General features: G+C 43.7%; 1 protein-coding gene across 1 annotated transcript; it reads left to right on the plus strand.

The window, feature by feature from the left end:
- Nucleotides 1-12192: 12192 nt before the first annotated feature.
- OR5BS1 (olfactory receptor family 5 subfamily BS member 1) lies at nucleotides 12193-15267 on the plus strand. The gene is made up of 2 exons (NM_001396061.1): nucleotides 12193-12965; nucleotides 15105-15267. The coding sequence occupies exons 1-2, from the start codon at nucleotides 12193-12195 to the stop codon at nucleotides 15265-15267; spliced, it is 936 nt and encodes a 311-aa protein (NP_001382990.1).
- The last annotated feature ends 2803 nt before the right edge of the window (nucleotides 15268-18070 follow it).

Below are 18070 nucleotides of genomic sequence, written 5' to 3' on the forward strand. Positions count from 1 at the left end.
GTCTGTTCGTGTCCTTCACCCACTTTTTGATGGGATTGTTTGTTTTTTTCTTGTAAATTTGTTTGAGTTCATTGTAGATTCTGGATATTAGCCCTTTGTCAGATGAGTAGGTTGCGAAAATTTTCTCCCATTCTGTAGGTTGCCTGTTCACTCTGATGGTAGTCTCTTCTGCTGTGCAGAAGCTCTTTAGTTGAATTAGATCCCATTTGTCAATTTTGGCTTTTGTTGCCATTGCTTTTGGTGTTTTAGTCATGAAGTCCTTGCCCGTGCCTATGGCCTGAATGGTATTGCCTAGGTTTTCTTCTAGGGTTTTTATGATTTTAGGTCTAACATTTAAGTCTTTAATCCATCGTGAATTATTTTTTGTATAAGGTGTAAGGAAGGGATCTAGTTTCAGCTTTCTACATATGGCTAGCCAGTTTTCCCAGCACCATTTATTAAACAGGGAGTCCTTTCCCCATTGCTTGTTTTTCTCAGGTTTGTCAAATATCAGATGGTTGTAGATGTGTGGTATTATTTGTGCGGGCTCTGTTCTGTTCCATTGGTCTATATCTCTGTTTTGGTACCAGTACCATGCTGTTTTGGTTACTGTAGCTTTATAGTATAGTTTGAAGTCAGGTAGTGTGATGCCTCCAGCTTTGTTCTTTTTGCTTAGGATTGTCTTGGCAATGCAGGCTCTTTTTTGGTTCCATATGAACTTTAAAGTAGTTTTTTCCAATTCTGTGAAGAAAGTCATTGGTAGCTTGATGGGGATGGCATTGAATCTATAAATTACCTTGGGCAGTATGGCCATTTTCACGATATTGATTCTTCCTATCCATGAGCATGGAATGTTCTTCCATTTGTTTGTGTCCTCTTTTATTTCGTTGAGCAGTGGTTTGTAGTTCTCCTTGAAGAGGTCCTTCACATCCCTTGTAAGTTGGATTCCTAGGTATTTTATTCTCTTTGAAGCAATTGTGAATGGGAGTTCACTCATGATTTGGCTCTCTGTTGGTCTGTTATTGGTGTATAAGAATGCTTGTGATTTTTGTACATTGATTTTGTATCCTGAGACCTTGCTGAAGTGCTTATCAGCTTAAGGAGATTTTGGGCTGAGACGATGGGGTTTTCTAAATATACAATCATGTCATCTGCAAACAGGGACAATTTGACTTCCTCTTTTCCTAATCAAATACTCTTTATTTATTTCTCCTGCCTGATTGCCCTCGCCAGAACTTCCAACACTATGTTGAATAGGAGTGCTGAGAGAGGGCATCCCTGTCTTATGCCAGTTTTCAAAGGGAATGCTTCCAGTTTTTGCCCATTCAGTATGATATTGGCTGAGGGTTTGTCATAAATAGCTCTTGTTATTTTGAGATACATCCCATCGATACCTATTTTTGAGAGTTTTTAGCATGAAGGGTTGTTGAATTTTGTCGAGGCCTTTTCTGCATCTATTGAGATAATCATGTGGTTTTTGTCTTTGGTTTTGTTTATATGATGGATTATGTTTATTGATTTGTGTATGTTGAGCCAGCCTTGCATCCCAGGGATGAAGCCAACTTGATCGTGGTGGATAAGCTTTTTGATGTGCTGCTGGATTCAGTTTGCCAGTATTTTATTGAGGATTTTTGCATGGATGTTCATCAGGGATGTTAGCCTAAAATTCTCTTTATTTGTTGTGCCTCTGCCAGGCTTTGGTATCAGGATGATGCTGGCCTCATAAAATGAGTTAGGGAGGATTCCCTTCTTTTCTATTGATTGGAGTAGTTTCAGAAGGAATGGTACCAGCTTCTCTTTGTGCCTCTGGTAGAATTTGGCTGTGAATCCGTCTGGTCCTGGACTTTTTTTGGTTGGTAGGCTCTTAATTATTGCCTCAATTTCAGAGCCTGATATTGGTCCATTCTGGGATTCAACTTCTTACTGGTTTAGTCTTGGGAGGGTGTGTGTGTCCAGGAATTTATTCATTTCTTCTAGATTTTCTAGTTTATTTGCATAGAGGTGTTTATAGTATTCTCTGATGGTACTTTGTATTTCTGTGGGATCGGTGGTGATCCCCCTTTACCATTTTTAATTGTGTCTATTTGATTCTTCTCTCTTTTCTTCTTTATTAGTCTTGCTAGCTGTCTATCAATTTTGTTGATGTTTTCAAAAAACCAGCTCCTGGATTCATTGATTTTTTGAAGGGTTTTTTGTGTCTTTATCTCCTTCCGTTCTGCTCTATTCTTAGTTATTTCTTGCCTTCTGCTAGCTTTTGAATTTATTTGCTCTTACTTCTCAGTTCTTTTAATTGTGATGTTAGGGTGTCAATTTTAGATCTTTCCTGCTTTCTCTTGTGGGCATTTAGTGCTATAAATTTCCCTCTACCTACTGCTTTAATGTGTCCCAGAGATTCTAGTATATTGTGTCTTTGTTCTCATTGGTTTCAAAGAACATCTTTATTTCTGCCTTCATTTCATTATGTACCCAGTAGTCATTCAGGAGCAGGTTGTTCAGTTTCCATGTAGTTGAGTGGTTTTGAGTGAGTTTCTTAATCCTGAGTTCTAGTTGATTGCACTGTGGTCTGAGAGACAGTTTGTTATAATTTCTGTTCTTTTACATTTGCTGAGGAGTGCTTTACTTCCAACTATGTGGTCAATTTTGGAATAAGTGTGATGTGGTGCTGAGAAGAATGTATATTCTGTTGATGTGGAGTGGAGAGTTCTGTAGATGTCTATTAGGTCTGCTTGGTGCACAGCTGAGTTCTATTCCTGGATACCCTTGTTAACTTTCTGTCTCGTTGATCTGTCTAATGTTGACAGTGGGGTGTTAAAATCTCCCATTATTATTGTGTGGGAGTCTAAGTCTCTTTGTAGGTCTCTAAGGACTTGCTTTATGAACTTGGGTGCGCCTGTATTGGGTGCATATATATTTAGGATAGTTAGCTCTTCTTGTTGAATTGATCCCTTTACCATTATGTAATGGCCTTCTTTGTCTCTTTTGATCTTTGTTGGTTTAAAGTCTGTTTTATCAGAGACTAGGATTGCAACCTCTGCTTTTTTTTTGTTTTCCATTTGCTTGGTAGATCTTCCTGTATCCCTTTATTTTGAGCCTATATGTGTCTTTGCATGTGAGATGGGTCTCCTGAATACAGCACACTGATGGGTCTTGACTCTTTATCCAATTTGCCAGTCTGTGTCTCTTAATTGGAGCATTTAGCCCATTTACATTTAAGGTTAATATTGTTATGTGTTAATTTGATCCTGTCATTATGATGTTAGCTGGTTATTTTTCTCATTAGTTGCTGCAATTTCTTCCTAGCATCGATGGTCTTTACAATTTGGCATGTTTTTGCAGTGGCATGTTTTGCAGTGGAAAGGTACCGGTTGTTCCTTTCCATGTTTAGTGCTTCCTCCAGGAGCTCTTGTAAGGCAGGCCTGGTGGTGACAAAATCTCTCAGCATTTGCTTGTCTGTAAGTGATTTTATTTTTCCTTCACTTATGAAGCTTAGTTCGGCTGGATATGAAATTCTGGGTTGAAAATTCTTTTCTTTAAGAATGTTGAGCTCCCTCTCCCTCTCCCTCTCCCCATGGTCTCCCTCTCCCTCTCCCTCTCTCTCTATGGTCTACCTCTGATGCCGAGCTGAAGCTGGACTGTACTGCCACCATCTCAGCTCACTGCAACCTCCCTGCCTGATTCTCCTGCCTCAACCTACCCAATGCCTGCAATTGCAGGCATGCACCGCCACGCCTGACTGGTTTTCATATTTTTTTGGTGGAGACGGGGTTTCACTGTGTTGGCTGGGCTGGTCTCCAGCTCCTAACCACGAGTGATCTGCCAGCCTCGGCCTCCCAAGGTGCTGGGATTGCAGACGGAGTCTCACTCACTCAGTGCTCAGTGTTGCCCAGGCTGGAGTGCAGTGGAGTGATCTCAGCTCGCTACAACCTCCACCTCCCAGCCGCCTGCCTTGGCCTCCCAAAGTGCCGAGATTGCAGCCTCTGCCCGGCCACCACCCTGTCTGGGAAGTGAGGAGCGTCTCTGCCTGGCCACCCATCATCTGGGATGTGAGAGACCCACTCCCTGGCTGCCCAGTCTGGGAAGTGAGGAGCGCCTCTTCCCAGCTGCCATCCTGTCTAGGAAGTGAGGAGCGTCTCTGCCTGGCTGCCCTTCGTCTGAGATGTGGGGAGCGCCTCTGCCCCACCGCTCCATCTGGGATGTGAGGAGTGCCTCTGCCTGGCCATGACCCCATCTGGGAGGTGAGGAGCGTCTCTGCCCAGCCGCCCCTTCTGAGAAGTGAAGAGCCCCTCTGCCTGGCAGCCACCCCGTCTGGGAGGTGTACCCAACAGTTCATTGAGAACGGGCCATGATGACGATGGTGGTTTTGTCGAATAGAAAAGGGGGAAATGTGGGGAAAAGATAGAGAAATCAGATTGTTGCTGTGTCTCTGTAGAGGGAAGTAGACGTAGGAGACTCCATTTTGTTCTGTACTAAGAAAAATTCTTCTGCCTTGGGATGCTGTTAATCTATAACCTTACCCCCCAACCCCGTGCTCTCTGAAACATGTGCTGTGTCCACTCAGGGTTAAATGCATTAAGGGCGGTGCAAGATGTGCTTTGTTAAACAGATGCTTGAAGGCAGCATGCTCGTTAAGAGTCATCACCACTCCCTAATCTCAAGTACCCAGGGACACAAACACTGCGGAAGGCCACAGGGTCCTCTGCCTAGGAAAACCAGAGACCCTTGTTCACTTGTTTATCTGCTGACCTTCCCTCCACTATTGTCCTATGACCCTGCCAAATCCCCCTCTCTGAGAAACACCCAAGAATGATCAATAAATACTAAAAAAAAAAAAAAAAAAAAAAGAATGTTGAATATTGGCCCCCACTCTCTTCTGGCTTGTAGAGCTTCTGCCAAGAGATCTGCTGTTAGTCTGATAGGCTTCCCTTTGTGGTTAACCCAAACTTTCTCTCTGGCTGCCCTTAACATTTTTTCCCTCATTTCAACTTTGGTGCATCTGAAATTATGTGTCTTGGAATTGCTGTTGTCGAGGAGTATCTTTGTGGCGTTATCTGTATTTCCTGAATTTGAATGTTAGCCTGCCTTGCTAGGTTGGGGAAGTTCTCCTGGATAATATCCTGCAGGGTGTTTTCCAACTTGGTTCCATTCTCCCCATCACTTTCAGGTACACCAATCAGACATAGATTTGGTCTTTTCACATAGTCCCATATTTCTTGGAGGTTTTTTCATTTCTTTTTACTCTTTTTTCTCTAAACTCCTCTTCTTGCTTCATTTCATTCATTTGTTCTTCAATCACTGATACCTTTTCTTCCAGTTGATCAAATTGGCTACTGAAGCTTGTGCATGCGTCACGTAGTTCTTGTGCCATGGTTTTCAACTCCATCAGGTCATTTAAGGTCTTCTCTACACTGTTTATTCTAGTTAGCCATTCGTCTAATCTTTTTTCAAGGTTTTTAGCTTCGTTGTGATGGGTTCGAACATCCTCCTTTAGCTCAGAGAAGTTTGTTATTACCAATCATCTGAAGCCTTTTTCTCTCAACTCATTAAAGTCATTCTCCATCCAGCTTTGTTCCATTGCTAGTGAGGAGCTGCACTCCTTTGGAGAAGAAGAGGCTCTCTGATTTTTAGAATTTTCAGCTTTTCTGCTCTGGTTTCTCCCCATCTTTGTGGTTTTATCTACCTTTGGTCTTTGATGTTGGTGACGTACCGATGGGGTTTTGGTGTGGATGTCCTTTCTGTTTGTTAGTTTTCCTTCTAATACTCAGGACCCTCAGCTGCAGGTCTGTTGGAGTTTTCTGGAGGTCCTCTCCAGACCCTGTTTGCCTGGGTATCACCAGTGGAGGCTGCAGAACAGCAAATATTGCAGAATGGCAAATGTTGCTGCCTGATCCTTCCTCTGGAAGCCTTGTCTCAGAGGGGCACCCGGCCATATGAGTGTCAGTTGGCCCCTACTTGGAAGTGCCTCCCAGTTAGGCTACTCAGGGGTCAGGGCCCCACTTGAGGAGGCAGTCTGTCCATTCTCAGATCTCAAACTCCATGCTGGAAGAACCACTACTCTCTTCAAAGCTGTCAGTCAGGGACACTTAAGTCTGCAGAAGTTTCTGCTGCCTTTGATTCAGCTACACCCTGCCCCCAGAGGTGGAGTCTACAGAGGCAGGCAGGCCTCCTTGAGCTGTAGTGGGCTCCTCCCAGTTTGAGCTTCCCGGCCGCTTTGTTTACCTACTCAAGCCTCAGCAGCGATGCCCCTCCCTCAGCCTCGCTGCCGCCTTGCAGTTTGATCTCAGACTGCTGTGCTAGCAGTGAGCGAGGCTCCGTGGGCATGGGACCCTCTGAGCCAGGCACAAGATATAATCTCCTGGTGTGCCGTTTGCTAAGACCGTTGGAAAAGCACAGTATTAGGGTGGGAGTGTCCCTATTTTCCGGGTACCATCTGTCATGGCTTCCCTAGGCTAGGAAAGGGAATTCCCCAACCCCTTGCACTTCCCGGGTTAGGCAATGCCCCACCCTGCTTTGGCTCATGCTCTGTGGGCTGCACCTACTGTCCAACAAGCCCCAGTGAGATGAACCTGGTACCTCAGTTGGAAATGCAGAAATCACCCATCTTCTGCATCACTCATGCTGGTAGCTCTAGACTGGAGCTGTTCCTATTTGGCCATCTTGGAACCTCTCCAACAATGATTCTTATTATCCCTTTTGCCATTTTGCACAGTGAGAGAGAAGACAAAAGCCTGACTGGTAAGAAATTTTTACCCTTTTGCCAGCATATTAGTCTTCTGGGTTCCCTTCCCCCAGCTCAACTCTAAGCCAAACATTTTTAAGTTTTGGAAAATTAACTTTTCCAGGTTGGGAGAACATTATAAAAGAGATAGAAGCCTTTTTAAACCATGAAAGAAGGAAAAACACCATGGAAAGGAGTTCCAGTTAGGGTTGTCAAGAGGTATTGCCTCTTTTCCTATTGGGAATGGTGTTTCCCCTATTTCTTTGCCTTCTCTATTTTCTCTTTCCCTTTTGGCCTACTATAGAAGACATATTGCTCATCCCCAAAATTTTCTCCTGTTTGCAGAGCTGCCTGTTTTAGCTGCAGTAGGGTTTGGCTTAGGAGCAGCATAACATTCCTCCATGAGAAGTCAAATACCTGAGTTAAACTTTGGAAAGCTTCTATACACCTATCAGTGTTATCAGAAAATTGGTCTAAGACTCCTTCACTTGACTAAGGTCCTGCAATGAGAAGGGAATGTGAAGGGGCCCAAAATAAGGGGGACACTCAGATTATTTCCCTGAAAGTTACTTTTTTAATTTTGGGGAACTATTTTCCCTGGGCCTGCCCAATATGGTTGCTAAAAGAGCTGGGTTGATTTTGCAACACTTGCAAAGGTCTAATAAAAATGCCATGCCCTTGTGCAGAAGAAAATAAGCCACTTTTTCTTCAAAGTTTAAAGGTCAAAGAAGTCCCAGTGCTCCAAAATACACTCCAGGGGAGTGCATGTTGAAGATGATCTGTTGCCCATCTAGAAAGAGAAGTGAGAAGAAAAGCGTCTCCTTCCTTTTGGTATGTGATCCAGGATGGAGAAGAAAGCAGTAGGAGGCGTCCCCCAATAATTTTCTCTCCTTGGCTCCTGAATCCCTGGCACCCATTTAAATGTGCCGCCCATGACTGCAGGCATGACCCTCTGCACCACGACACCAGAGGAACTATACTTTTGGGCCTTAGTCATGCTGTCCCCAAGAAGTCTTAGTCCTCTGCCTTTTATTTCCCTTTGACCTCCTAGACTTCTGTGGCCTGTGTGTCTTCCAAAAAAAAAAAAAACAAAATGGATTTCAAGAAAAACCACTTAATTGGGCAAGCCCCCTTTAAGGTGGGGGGCATGCTAGATTGAACTTTATATGCTATTATGGCTCATACTAAAGCACTTACCCGTAGAAGAATGGTTCTGGTTAACTTCCGGACTTAAAATCCCCTTACTAATTAAGTAGTCTTAATAGGAGACACAATAGGTGCCTTAAAGGAACGTAGAAACCGAATGGCCATTTTCCTGCCAGTGGGACAATATCAAGACTAAAATTTGTCTATGGAAAACATCTTACTCCTAACTGTTAAAAGCAGAGCTTTCCCACTTACAGAAGTAGCAGTAGAAAAGCGCAAAATAGAAAAGTTCCAAAGCTGCAATGTACCACAGAGAACCAGCAATGTGTCTCATGAAGAGGATTTTTATTTCCACTAGGTAGCTTAGAAATATCACGTGCTCACCAGAGAAGTTGTAGCAAGTAACCTCTCCTCAGGGGAAAAGGGGAAAATGCTGTTCCTAGACTGTAAAAATCCTTGCACATTTCACGCAGAGAAAGAGTAAGAGGCCACAGATAGAGAAGGAAGAAGAGTTTTGCAACAGGACAGTTGAGGATTCTCTACCAACACTGGAATGGACTGTCAGAGGCTGCATTCGGTCCAGAGGCATTTGAATCACACCAGGCCCTGGTCTGGAATTCTCAGTTGCCTCAGAACTTTTCCCAGCCTCGCATGATAGCAAAGTCTCCCTGTAAAAAGAAGCTAGTTCAAACATGGCCAACATTACCAATACCAGTGGGTAATGGGGGATTCTCCATGTTCTTCCCAGAAAGCTTCATATCTGTGTCTTCAGTACGGCAGCCAACGCTAAGCATATGTACTAGGCTGACAGATGCCTATTGATTTATTTGATTTATTCTAATATAGAGGCTAAGAGCACCTCTGAATGATAGAACAGGTTTTAAGCTTGCTTTCATATTCACCACTCCAACAAAGGCTTTACCTCAGATTCCCAGCCAATGCACCAAAATGATATGGCTCTGATAAGCAGAGGAACACCAGGATTCTTGGTCCCCATGCTAAATTAGATAAAACGTCAGGGACACACATGGAGTGGTTTTAAGGAGCAGAGAGTTTAATAGGCAAGAAAGAATGGAGAAGAAAGAAAGAAGAAGCTCCCCGTACAGAGACAGAGGGTGGGGGTCTCTAAAGCCGACAGAAGAGACCCCAAGTGTGGTGGAAACCAGCCAGGTGTATGAAGAGGCTGGAGGAGGTGGTGTCTGATTTGCATAGGGCTTAGGGGATTGGTTTGACCAGGCACGTCATTCACATAGCCCGCGAAAAAAACTGGCCCTCCCACTCTAGCCTTTTAATATACAAAGGCAGGGCACCATGATGTTCTACAAACATGGGGATATGTGGGGGTGGCCTTGTTGCCAGGCACGTAAGGAGGCAAGGGAAAGAGGACAATGGTGGGAATCGCCATGTTGGGTGGACCCAATTTCTAATGGCTTGCATTTGCATATCAAAGGTTGCACACCTGACATTTGCATATCAAAAGTTGCCAGCCTGGCTCTAAGACAGGAAACATTTCTGGAGCTGCTTTAAAAGAGATGAAAACTTTCCAAGGACCCCTTTTCCTCTCTATCTGCCTAAAATAATTTCTTAATAATTCCTACCACACTGTTTCCAAGAAATGCTGAAGGGGAAGAACATGAGTAGTTTATTCCGGTTCAAGACTTCCCACGAACTGTGGACCAAGTCCAAGACCAGTTGAATGACCTTATTATCAATGATGACTCCTCTCTAAAAGACCCTGTGATCCACAGCAATCAATCCAAATGCAGAGGAGTTTGCTCCTGGGGTGAAGTACTCACATATTTGAGCAGATGGGGTTCTCTTTTGCTGGGGGATTTGGATTGGCTTTTTGGAAGCTAAAATGGTTCCTTAGGGTTAAGTAATACTTGCTAAAGCCTAAACTTTTTTTAAATGCAGAAATACAATTAAGTTCTAACTGTTAAGTTGATTTCTCAGTTCAGACTTAAATTTGCATTTCTCCCCATCAAAAAGAATCTCCTCTTTGTGAGAAAGGCTGGTTAGTTAATTAGAAATAATTCATTATAGACCAGTATGTCTTTGGTTACTGAAGTTACAAGGTGGGGATCAGATAAGAACTAGTCCTGACTTTTATGGTGTATTATGTTGAAAATGTTAAATTCTGCTCCTAATATTACATCTGAGGTGATTTGAGAATTTCGTCTTCTTCTGAGGAATCACTGCATCATAGCCATGCCTGTGTGAAGTCTAATGTTTGACCAACCCATAATCCAACTGAACAAAGAGATTGTAACATTATGATTTGAGTGGTGCTTCTCCTCGCTTTGTTAACCATTACAACAATAGCACAATTTTTTAAAACAAAGCTAGATTAGTTTTGGCTTCTTAAACTTTGTATTCGGGTAGTTAAGCTGCCATACATGCTCAATAGGAATAGTATGTAATTTGAAAATACCGTAAAAAAATTTTTTTTCAAAGATACTTTAAAACATAATAGTAGACTTGAAAAAATGAAATTATTGGCCACCCTAGGGCCCTCTTGATGATGCAACCCACTGAAATGAGAATGATACAAGGGAGAAGTAGTTGGCCCTGGAGAACCCGTTCAGAATCAGAACAGGCCTCCTGCTTAAGGACCTCTCCAGGGACCTCCCTCACTCTCCAAGGCCTAGAGCTGAGATCAAGTCCCTCTGGCCATTATTATTTGGGAGGTAGATTCAAGGCTTCCCCTTGGACAGAAAGGCTATGGGGATATTTCCTCGCTCAGAAGTTTCACCCCTGCATTCTCTAAAGGAAGGACAAAGCCGATAGAAGCCCACAGAGCCCTCTCCTATCTGTGGCTTTTGCTCCACTCTTGGAAAGGATGCCATACAGGGATCCTCCATTCAGGGCATCTCGTTGGCCTAGGGAGCCCAAGTGAAGGCAAATTTCCTTCTCATTCAAATCAATCTTCTCCTAAAACTACCCACTCTGGGAACCCACGAGGGTACAAGTCATGAATCGAGATCAGATTCTCATTGATAACCTTCTTGAGTTAACCATCAAGGGGAGGGGGACTAGCCACTTTACCTTCCTCTGATCTAGACTAAATCCTCTAACTGTCCATTTTACCAGGTGTTCTTTTATTTCTCACCCCTATTTTTGGTCTTTAACTTCCTTCTGATGCATAAAAATATCCAAGTTTGATTTGGCTTTTTCCAAATCTTTTTCCAAATATTCCAAAGAATAGCATAGTCTTTGTGGATGCCCATGTTAAGACCTGAAATTGCAGTGAAAACAGTGGGCATCATAGATTCACAGAAATGCTGAAATGGGAAGGCCTTGGAATGACCGATGTTCACAGTCCTCATTTCTATTCAAGGGTTTCCCCCTGCCTGGCTTCTGTGAAACCAATACATTCATGTGTCATTTCTACTTGGATTGACACAGAATGGGAGAAGGGGCTTCTATTTAGTACCAGAAACACCACAGGAAGACTGTTTCCCCATCTTTTTAATTTCTAAGCTGGTAGTAGGTATATTGACTCACCTGTAATCCCAGTACTTTGGGAGGCTAAGGAGGGATGATCACTTAAGGCCAAGAGTTTGAAACTAGCCTGGGCAATATAATGAGACCCCATCCCTAGAAAAAAATTAAATTAAAAATTAAATTTAAAAAAATCTAAGCTGGACTGAGGCACGAGAATAGCTTCAACCTAGGAGGTGGAGGCTTCAGTGAGTCGAGATCGTGCCACTGCACTCCAGCCTGGGCAAAAGAGTAAGACTCTGTCTCAAAAAAAAAAAAAAAAAAAAATCTAATCTGGAATGAACTTTAGAAACCATCTATTTTTCTCAGACTTTTTTTTTTTTTAGAAACTTAAGTGGCTTATGAGCTTACAGTGGCTGAGAGACAACTTGCACCATGACCAGGTCTCATAATACTTCTATCAGTCACTCAGACACTCATCATGGTCTGCCACCCAGATGGTCAGCCAAAATGTTTATTGCTTATTCACTATGCCAGTTAGCCTTCCTGTGGTTTGAGCTCGGTTCCTTTTGGAAGTAGAGAATAGCACTTCTCAGCACTCAGGAGTCCCAACTCCCTTCCCTTCCTTCTCCAGACTGAATAATTGCTGCTTTCTTCTCCTTCCTTTCTAGGTCTGATTCTCTGAACTTTTCCTCCCCACCTTCTCCACCACAGCCAATAGGTTACTGCCCTGAGCTGGAAAGGACTGACGCAGCCTGACATGGCAAGGCTTCCTCTGCTACAGAATCTGTCCTGGGTCTGCCTTGAAGCTTTACTGCCAATGCCTCATCCCCAGGCATGCCCTGCCACTGATAACCCACTGGAGCATTCTTTTTAGTTCTTGTCAGTCAAAAGGGAAACCTGAATGCTCCATGGAAGTCAGCAACATGACCACAGTCACTGTGTTTATTCTCCTAGGACTGTCCAACAACCCTCAGGTTCAGGCACTGCTCTTTGTTCTGTTCCTGGTGATTTACCTCTTGACTCTACTGGGGAACCTGCTGATGGTGCTGGTGATCAGTACTGATTCCCACCTCTGCACCCCTATGTACTTCTTCCTGAGACAACTCTCCTTCCTGGATGCTTTCTATTCCTCAATTATTGTGCCTAAACTGCTAGAGAACCTTCTTTCTAAGGGGGAGACAATATCCTTCCTTGAGTGTTTCACTCAGATCTCCCTGGTCATATTTTCTGGAGCTACTGAGGCTTGCCTCCTCTCGGTCATGGCCTATGACCGGTTTCAGGCCATGTGTCATCCACTGTTGTATGTGGTGATTATAAACAGGAGGGTGTGTGCTGGCCTGGTGGGGGCATCCTGGGCCATAGGAATGGGGACTGGCCTAATTAACACCCTCCTCCTGGCTCAGCAGCACTTCTGCGGCCCTAATGTCATCCACAGTTTTGCCTGCGAGCTTCCTCCGGTGCTCTTATTGACCTGTTCTGACCCCTGCGCTAGCATCGTCTCCATTCTCACTACCATGTCAGTCCTGGGCCTTGGCACCCTTGTCCTTTTGCTGGGTTCCTACAGCTGTATCATCATGACAGCCCTGAGGATCAACTCTGCTACAGGTCGGAGCAAGATCTTTTCCACCTGCTCTTCCCATTTCCTTGTGGTCACCATCTTTTATACTTCAGGAGTTCTCAGGTATGTCATACTATACCCCTGAATATAAATGCGGGATATTCCTTACCCTAAGTGGTCTCCGTTGGCAGAAGAGAGCATTACAAAATAGCAGGACATTCAAAAGGCCTAGGCTCTAGTGCTGGCTCTACCATGGACTAGCTGTATGAATTGTAAAGAATCTATTTTCAGCTGGGTACAGTGGCTCATGCCTGTAACCCCAGCACTTTGGGAGGCTGAGGTGGGTGGATCACTTGAGCCCAGGAGTTGGAGACCAGCCTGGTCAACATGGCGAAACCCCATCTCTACTGAAAATATAAAAATCAGCCAGGTGTGGTCACGTGCACCTGTAGTCCTAGCTACTCGGGAGGCTGAGGCAGGAGAATTGCTTCAGCCTCGGAGGCAGAGGTTGCAGTGAGCGGAAATTGCACTACTGCACTCCAGCCTGGGTGACAGAGTGAGACTAGGTCAAAAAAAAAAAAAAAAACAGAATCTATTTTCTTTCTGAGGCTTCAATTGTCCATTCTGGAAAATGAATTTAGACCAAGATAAAGATTTTTCTACTTCATTAACCTAAGATTTGGGAGTTCGCAAAAAGAAATCAGAGAAGCTTTGTTAGATTTTTAATCAGTGTTAGACAAAAAATAAAACCTTTCTTTGAAACATATGCCATCTTTATTTCCTACTGGGAGATGTCGCCAAAGCTTACATATGTTGTAGCAATTTACTAGCCATTTACTATACACAAGCTGCTTTACATCGCCAAGCCAATTTGAGTATCCATCACACTACAAGAGAAATATTATCAACCCACTTTTAGGTAAAGAACCTGAGTTTGGGGAGTAATCAGGTAATTTCTCAGCAGTCCCAGAACAAGCTAGTAATGGAGCCATAAGTTGGACCGAGATCCGTGCCCTTCCTTACCATGCTTCTCAGACATCGACAGCTCTGTCTGCCTAGTCCTCCCTCACCAGGAGACAAAACAATCGATGCCTGTGCTTTCTACTAGTAAATTGAAGGTAGATTTGCACAAATTGTTCAATATTTTTCTCACCTGCCTGTGATTCAGAGAGAAGTCCAGGATGGAAATGGATGGTAAGAATAGCCCAGTACCTGTAGTCCAGTGGCTAGGAGAGAAAAAAAAATAAGTAAAATAAATAAATAAATAAATAGCCCAGGAGAGCTTACCTGAGCTGTGCACCAATCTCTTCATCTCCCTTTGTCTCAGTTTCCTCATCTGCCATGAGGGATGTGACTACTTACTTCATAGAAATGTTAGAAAGAATAAGTTAGATGACAAAAAATAACAGTAAAATGACTATTTTTTTTATAACCAAACACATTGGAACCCACAAGGAACATCCTTGGGATAGTCTATTCCAATAATGATGGTGCCACTGCAAATAAATAATAATACTAGTGCTTCTTTGGAAGATACTCCGAGTGGTACTTAGCAAAATGTACCCAAGATTTTAATCTTATTATTTTGGAATCATATTATGTGCTTAACACATTTTTATCTCCCATTTTACCAGTTTTGGCTTCTTTTCCAAACCAAAGAAAAATGCAACTAAAAGGGCAAATGTTTGTTCCACTCAACTTTATACAAATAACAGGCAAGGATTCTGAGGGTAATTCCCAGGGCCATGAAGGTTGGGAATAATGACGATATTTTAAACTAAGTGTACAGTTTACATGAACAGTCATCACAAGGTGAGAACATTGCGTTTCTGTACTGTTGTGTATAAAGAGAAAAATTCCTCATATGATCATCACAGCTATTAAGGAAGAATGCTTTGAAGAGTATGAAATGCTATGGAAATGTATGATATTATTATTCATTCTATTTTTTTGTTTTACTTTTTATCTGTCCCCAATATTAATTCTGTTCTAACCTGCAACATTTGATATGCTGCAGAACTGCTTGTTCCTCGGGGCAGCTCCTATAACTTTCTGTGTGAGCTCACTTATGTTTGGAAGTGTTTGAAGGCAGAAATGACTGACTTTTCACAGATCAGCCATTTCTAGATGCTGCCACCAGAGAAAGTCAGCTCTGAAGACCTCCTTTGCAGAGTCTTTGCAGGGAGGGGATGAATTATTGCTGCCAACAGTGAGAATTGTCACCATTGTCATAAGTTGCTTTTCTGTACAATTCCCTTCAAGGTATATGATTCCAGCATCTGGCTCAGCCCTAGAACAAGTGCTCTCCGTGCAGTACAGTGTGATAACCCCCCTGCTGAACCCCCTCATCTACAGTCTGAAGAGCCAGGAGGTAAAGGTGGCTCTGAGGAGGATGCTGGCCAGGAAGTCCAGGCTTCCCTTGTAGCCCAGCGTCCCTGCCTCAGCAGGAGGAAAAGTTATGGGGAAAAAAGGAGGGAGGAAGAGCTATCACCACTCAGCTACCTCAACATTCATCTCCTTCCAAAACAGAGACCTTAGTTTATCTTCCTCCAATGCCCTGTTCCCAGCCAAAGGCAATGAGGAAACTCTCACAGAGCAGGTAGCACCCATCAGAGGGGGTCCAGTCATTATACAAGAAAATCCTCAGGGCATCCAGGGCATCCTGGCCATTTCTACAGCTAATACTTTTTCCTCTCATTTCTTGCCTTTTTGACCCCTCTTCTTCCTGCCTCTCCCTCTCCCTTTTACTTATGTCTATGCACAAAAGGTAAATCGACCTATCAGACCACTAGCAAATGTCCTTCTGCATTCTGGGATAGTCCCATCTTGGCACTGTGACCCAACTCCTCTTTTGTTCTCATGCCAAAAAGTCCCTGGAAAGATCTACATCCCATAACAACTTAGAAAGAAGTCAAATAGGCCGGGCATGGTGGCTCACACCTGTAATCCTAGCACTTTGGGAGGCCGAGGCGGGCAGATCACAAGGTCAGGAGATCAAGACCATCCTGGCCAATATGGTGAAACCCTGTCTCTACTAAAAATACAGAAATTAGCCTGGTGTGGTGGTTCATGCCTGTGGTCCCAGCTACTCGGGAGGCTGAAGCAGGAGAATTGCTTGAACCTGGGAGGTGGAGGTTGCAGTGAGCACTCCAGCCTGGCAACAGAGCAAAACTCTGTCAAAAAAAAAAAAAAAAAGAAATCAAATAAAATAAGAGTGTCTCCTCCTATCTTCATCCTTAACAAGTAGCAGCTAAAGTAGAGCCTAAGCCATGTGTGGTGGCACATCCCTGTAGTCCCAGCTACTCGAGAGACTGAGGCAGGAGGATCTCTTGAACTCAGGAGTTTGAGGCTGTAGTGTGCTGTGCTCACACCTGTGAATAGCCACTGTCCTGTAGACTGGGCAACATTGTGAGACCCCATCTCTAAATAAACAAATAAATAAGTAAAGTAGTACCTAGCAAACAGCATATCCTCAATAACCACTTGGTGACAAATCAAGCAGTGAAGGAAGGAATGAATGTGGATCACCTGAAGTCTTTTCTCTTGCATGATCCCAGGAAATGGGAGGAGGGGAGTATCCCCCTCTAAAGTATAAGGGTCTTAAGAGAAAAACCTCTAATAGCTTCTGTATACCCAATATCTAGTACCTCCTGTCACCTAATAGGCTCTTAATTAGTGTTCAATAAATGAAAAAAATGAATGGATGAGAGAGAAGGAGAAGTGGGAGAAGAAACATGAAAAGAAATATTTGGGGCCGGGCATGGTGGCTCACGCCTGTAATCCCAGCACTTTGGGAGGCTGAGGTGGGCGGATCACCTGAGGTCAGGAGTTCAAGACCAACCCGGCCAACACGGTGAAACCCCAGGTCTACTAAAAATACAAAAATTAGCTGGGCATGGTGGTGGGCACCTGTAACCCCAGCTACTTGGGAGGCTGAGGCAGGAAAACTGTTTGAACTTGAGAGGCAGAGGTTGCAGTGAGCTGAGATTACGCCACTGCACTCTAGCCTGGGCAACAGAGAGAGAGACTCCATCAAAAAAAAAAAAAAAAGAGGCCAGACACGGTGTCTCACGCCTGTAATCTCAGCACTTTGGAAGGCTGAGGAGGGCGGATCACCTGAGGGCAGGAGTTCAAGACCCACCTGGCCAACATGGTGAAACCCCGTCTCTACTAAAAATACAAAAATTAGCTGGGCGTGGCAGCGCATGCCTGTAATCCCAGCTATTCAGAAGGCTGAGGCAGGAGAATCGCTTGAACCCAGGAAGCGGAGGTTGCAGTGAACCAAGATCGTGCCACAGCACTCCAGCCTGGGCAACAGAGCAAGATTCCATCTCAAAAAAAAATAAAAAACATTTGATTTTATCTAATGCAATTCCTGTCTTCACAACAAGATAGGTGTCAGGGAAAAGTAGCAGGGAGGAGAAAGCAGGATAAGAGGAGAGAACAAAACTCTGTATTGCTGTGAACCATTTTGAGTCTTTCTCACACAGAGCTCAGTAAATGGTCTGCTCTCTGAGAGCCACTCCCTGGAGCCTACCCGCTTCCCAATTAGTCTGGATGACTTCAGACCTTTGCTTGGCTTAGAGCTTCATTTTAGGCCTAAGGGAAAGAGACAGAGGTAGAGAAAGCAGAACCGATGCTCAGCTGCCATGCTGCCTCCTATTCAGCTCTCAAGAAAGTTCTCAGGAAGAGAACAGCAGTTTCCTGTCCTGCTTCTACCCAAATGCCAAGAGAACTGCATCTATCAAGCCTGCTTCTATGTCCAAAGAAAAAGAAAAGTAATCATGTGAGGCGATGATATGTTAATGAGCTTGACTGTGGTGATCATTTAAGTGTATACATATAACAAAACATCAAGTTGTACACCTTCAACATATACAATTTTTATTTGTAAAAAAGGAGGAGGAGGAGAAGGCGAAGAAGACTACTGGCATGTATGTCATGAAGCTGATCCAGCCATACCTCACTGGATAAAGGAGGCAGTGTATAGATTTATTGATTCATTTTCTCAAAAGAATTCTTAATTCAGTGGACACCATATTAGACATTGAAATTTAAAAAATGTACAGGCCAGTCACTGTGGCTCACACCTGTAATCCCAGCACATTGGAAGGCCGAGGTGGGAGTTCAAGACCAGCCTGAGCAACATGGTGAAAGCCCATCTCTACTAAAAATACAAAAATTAGCCGGGCATGGTGGCAGGCGCCTGTAATCCCAGCTAGTCAGGA

Source organism: Homo sapiens, chromosome 12, assembly GCF_000001405.40.
Source record: "Homo sapiens chromosome 12, GRCh38.p14 Primary Assembly".
NCBI lineage: Eukaryota > Metazoa > Chordata > Mammalia > Primates > Hominidae > Homo > Homo sapiens.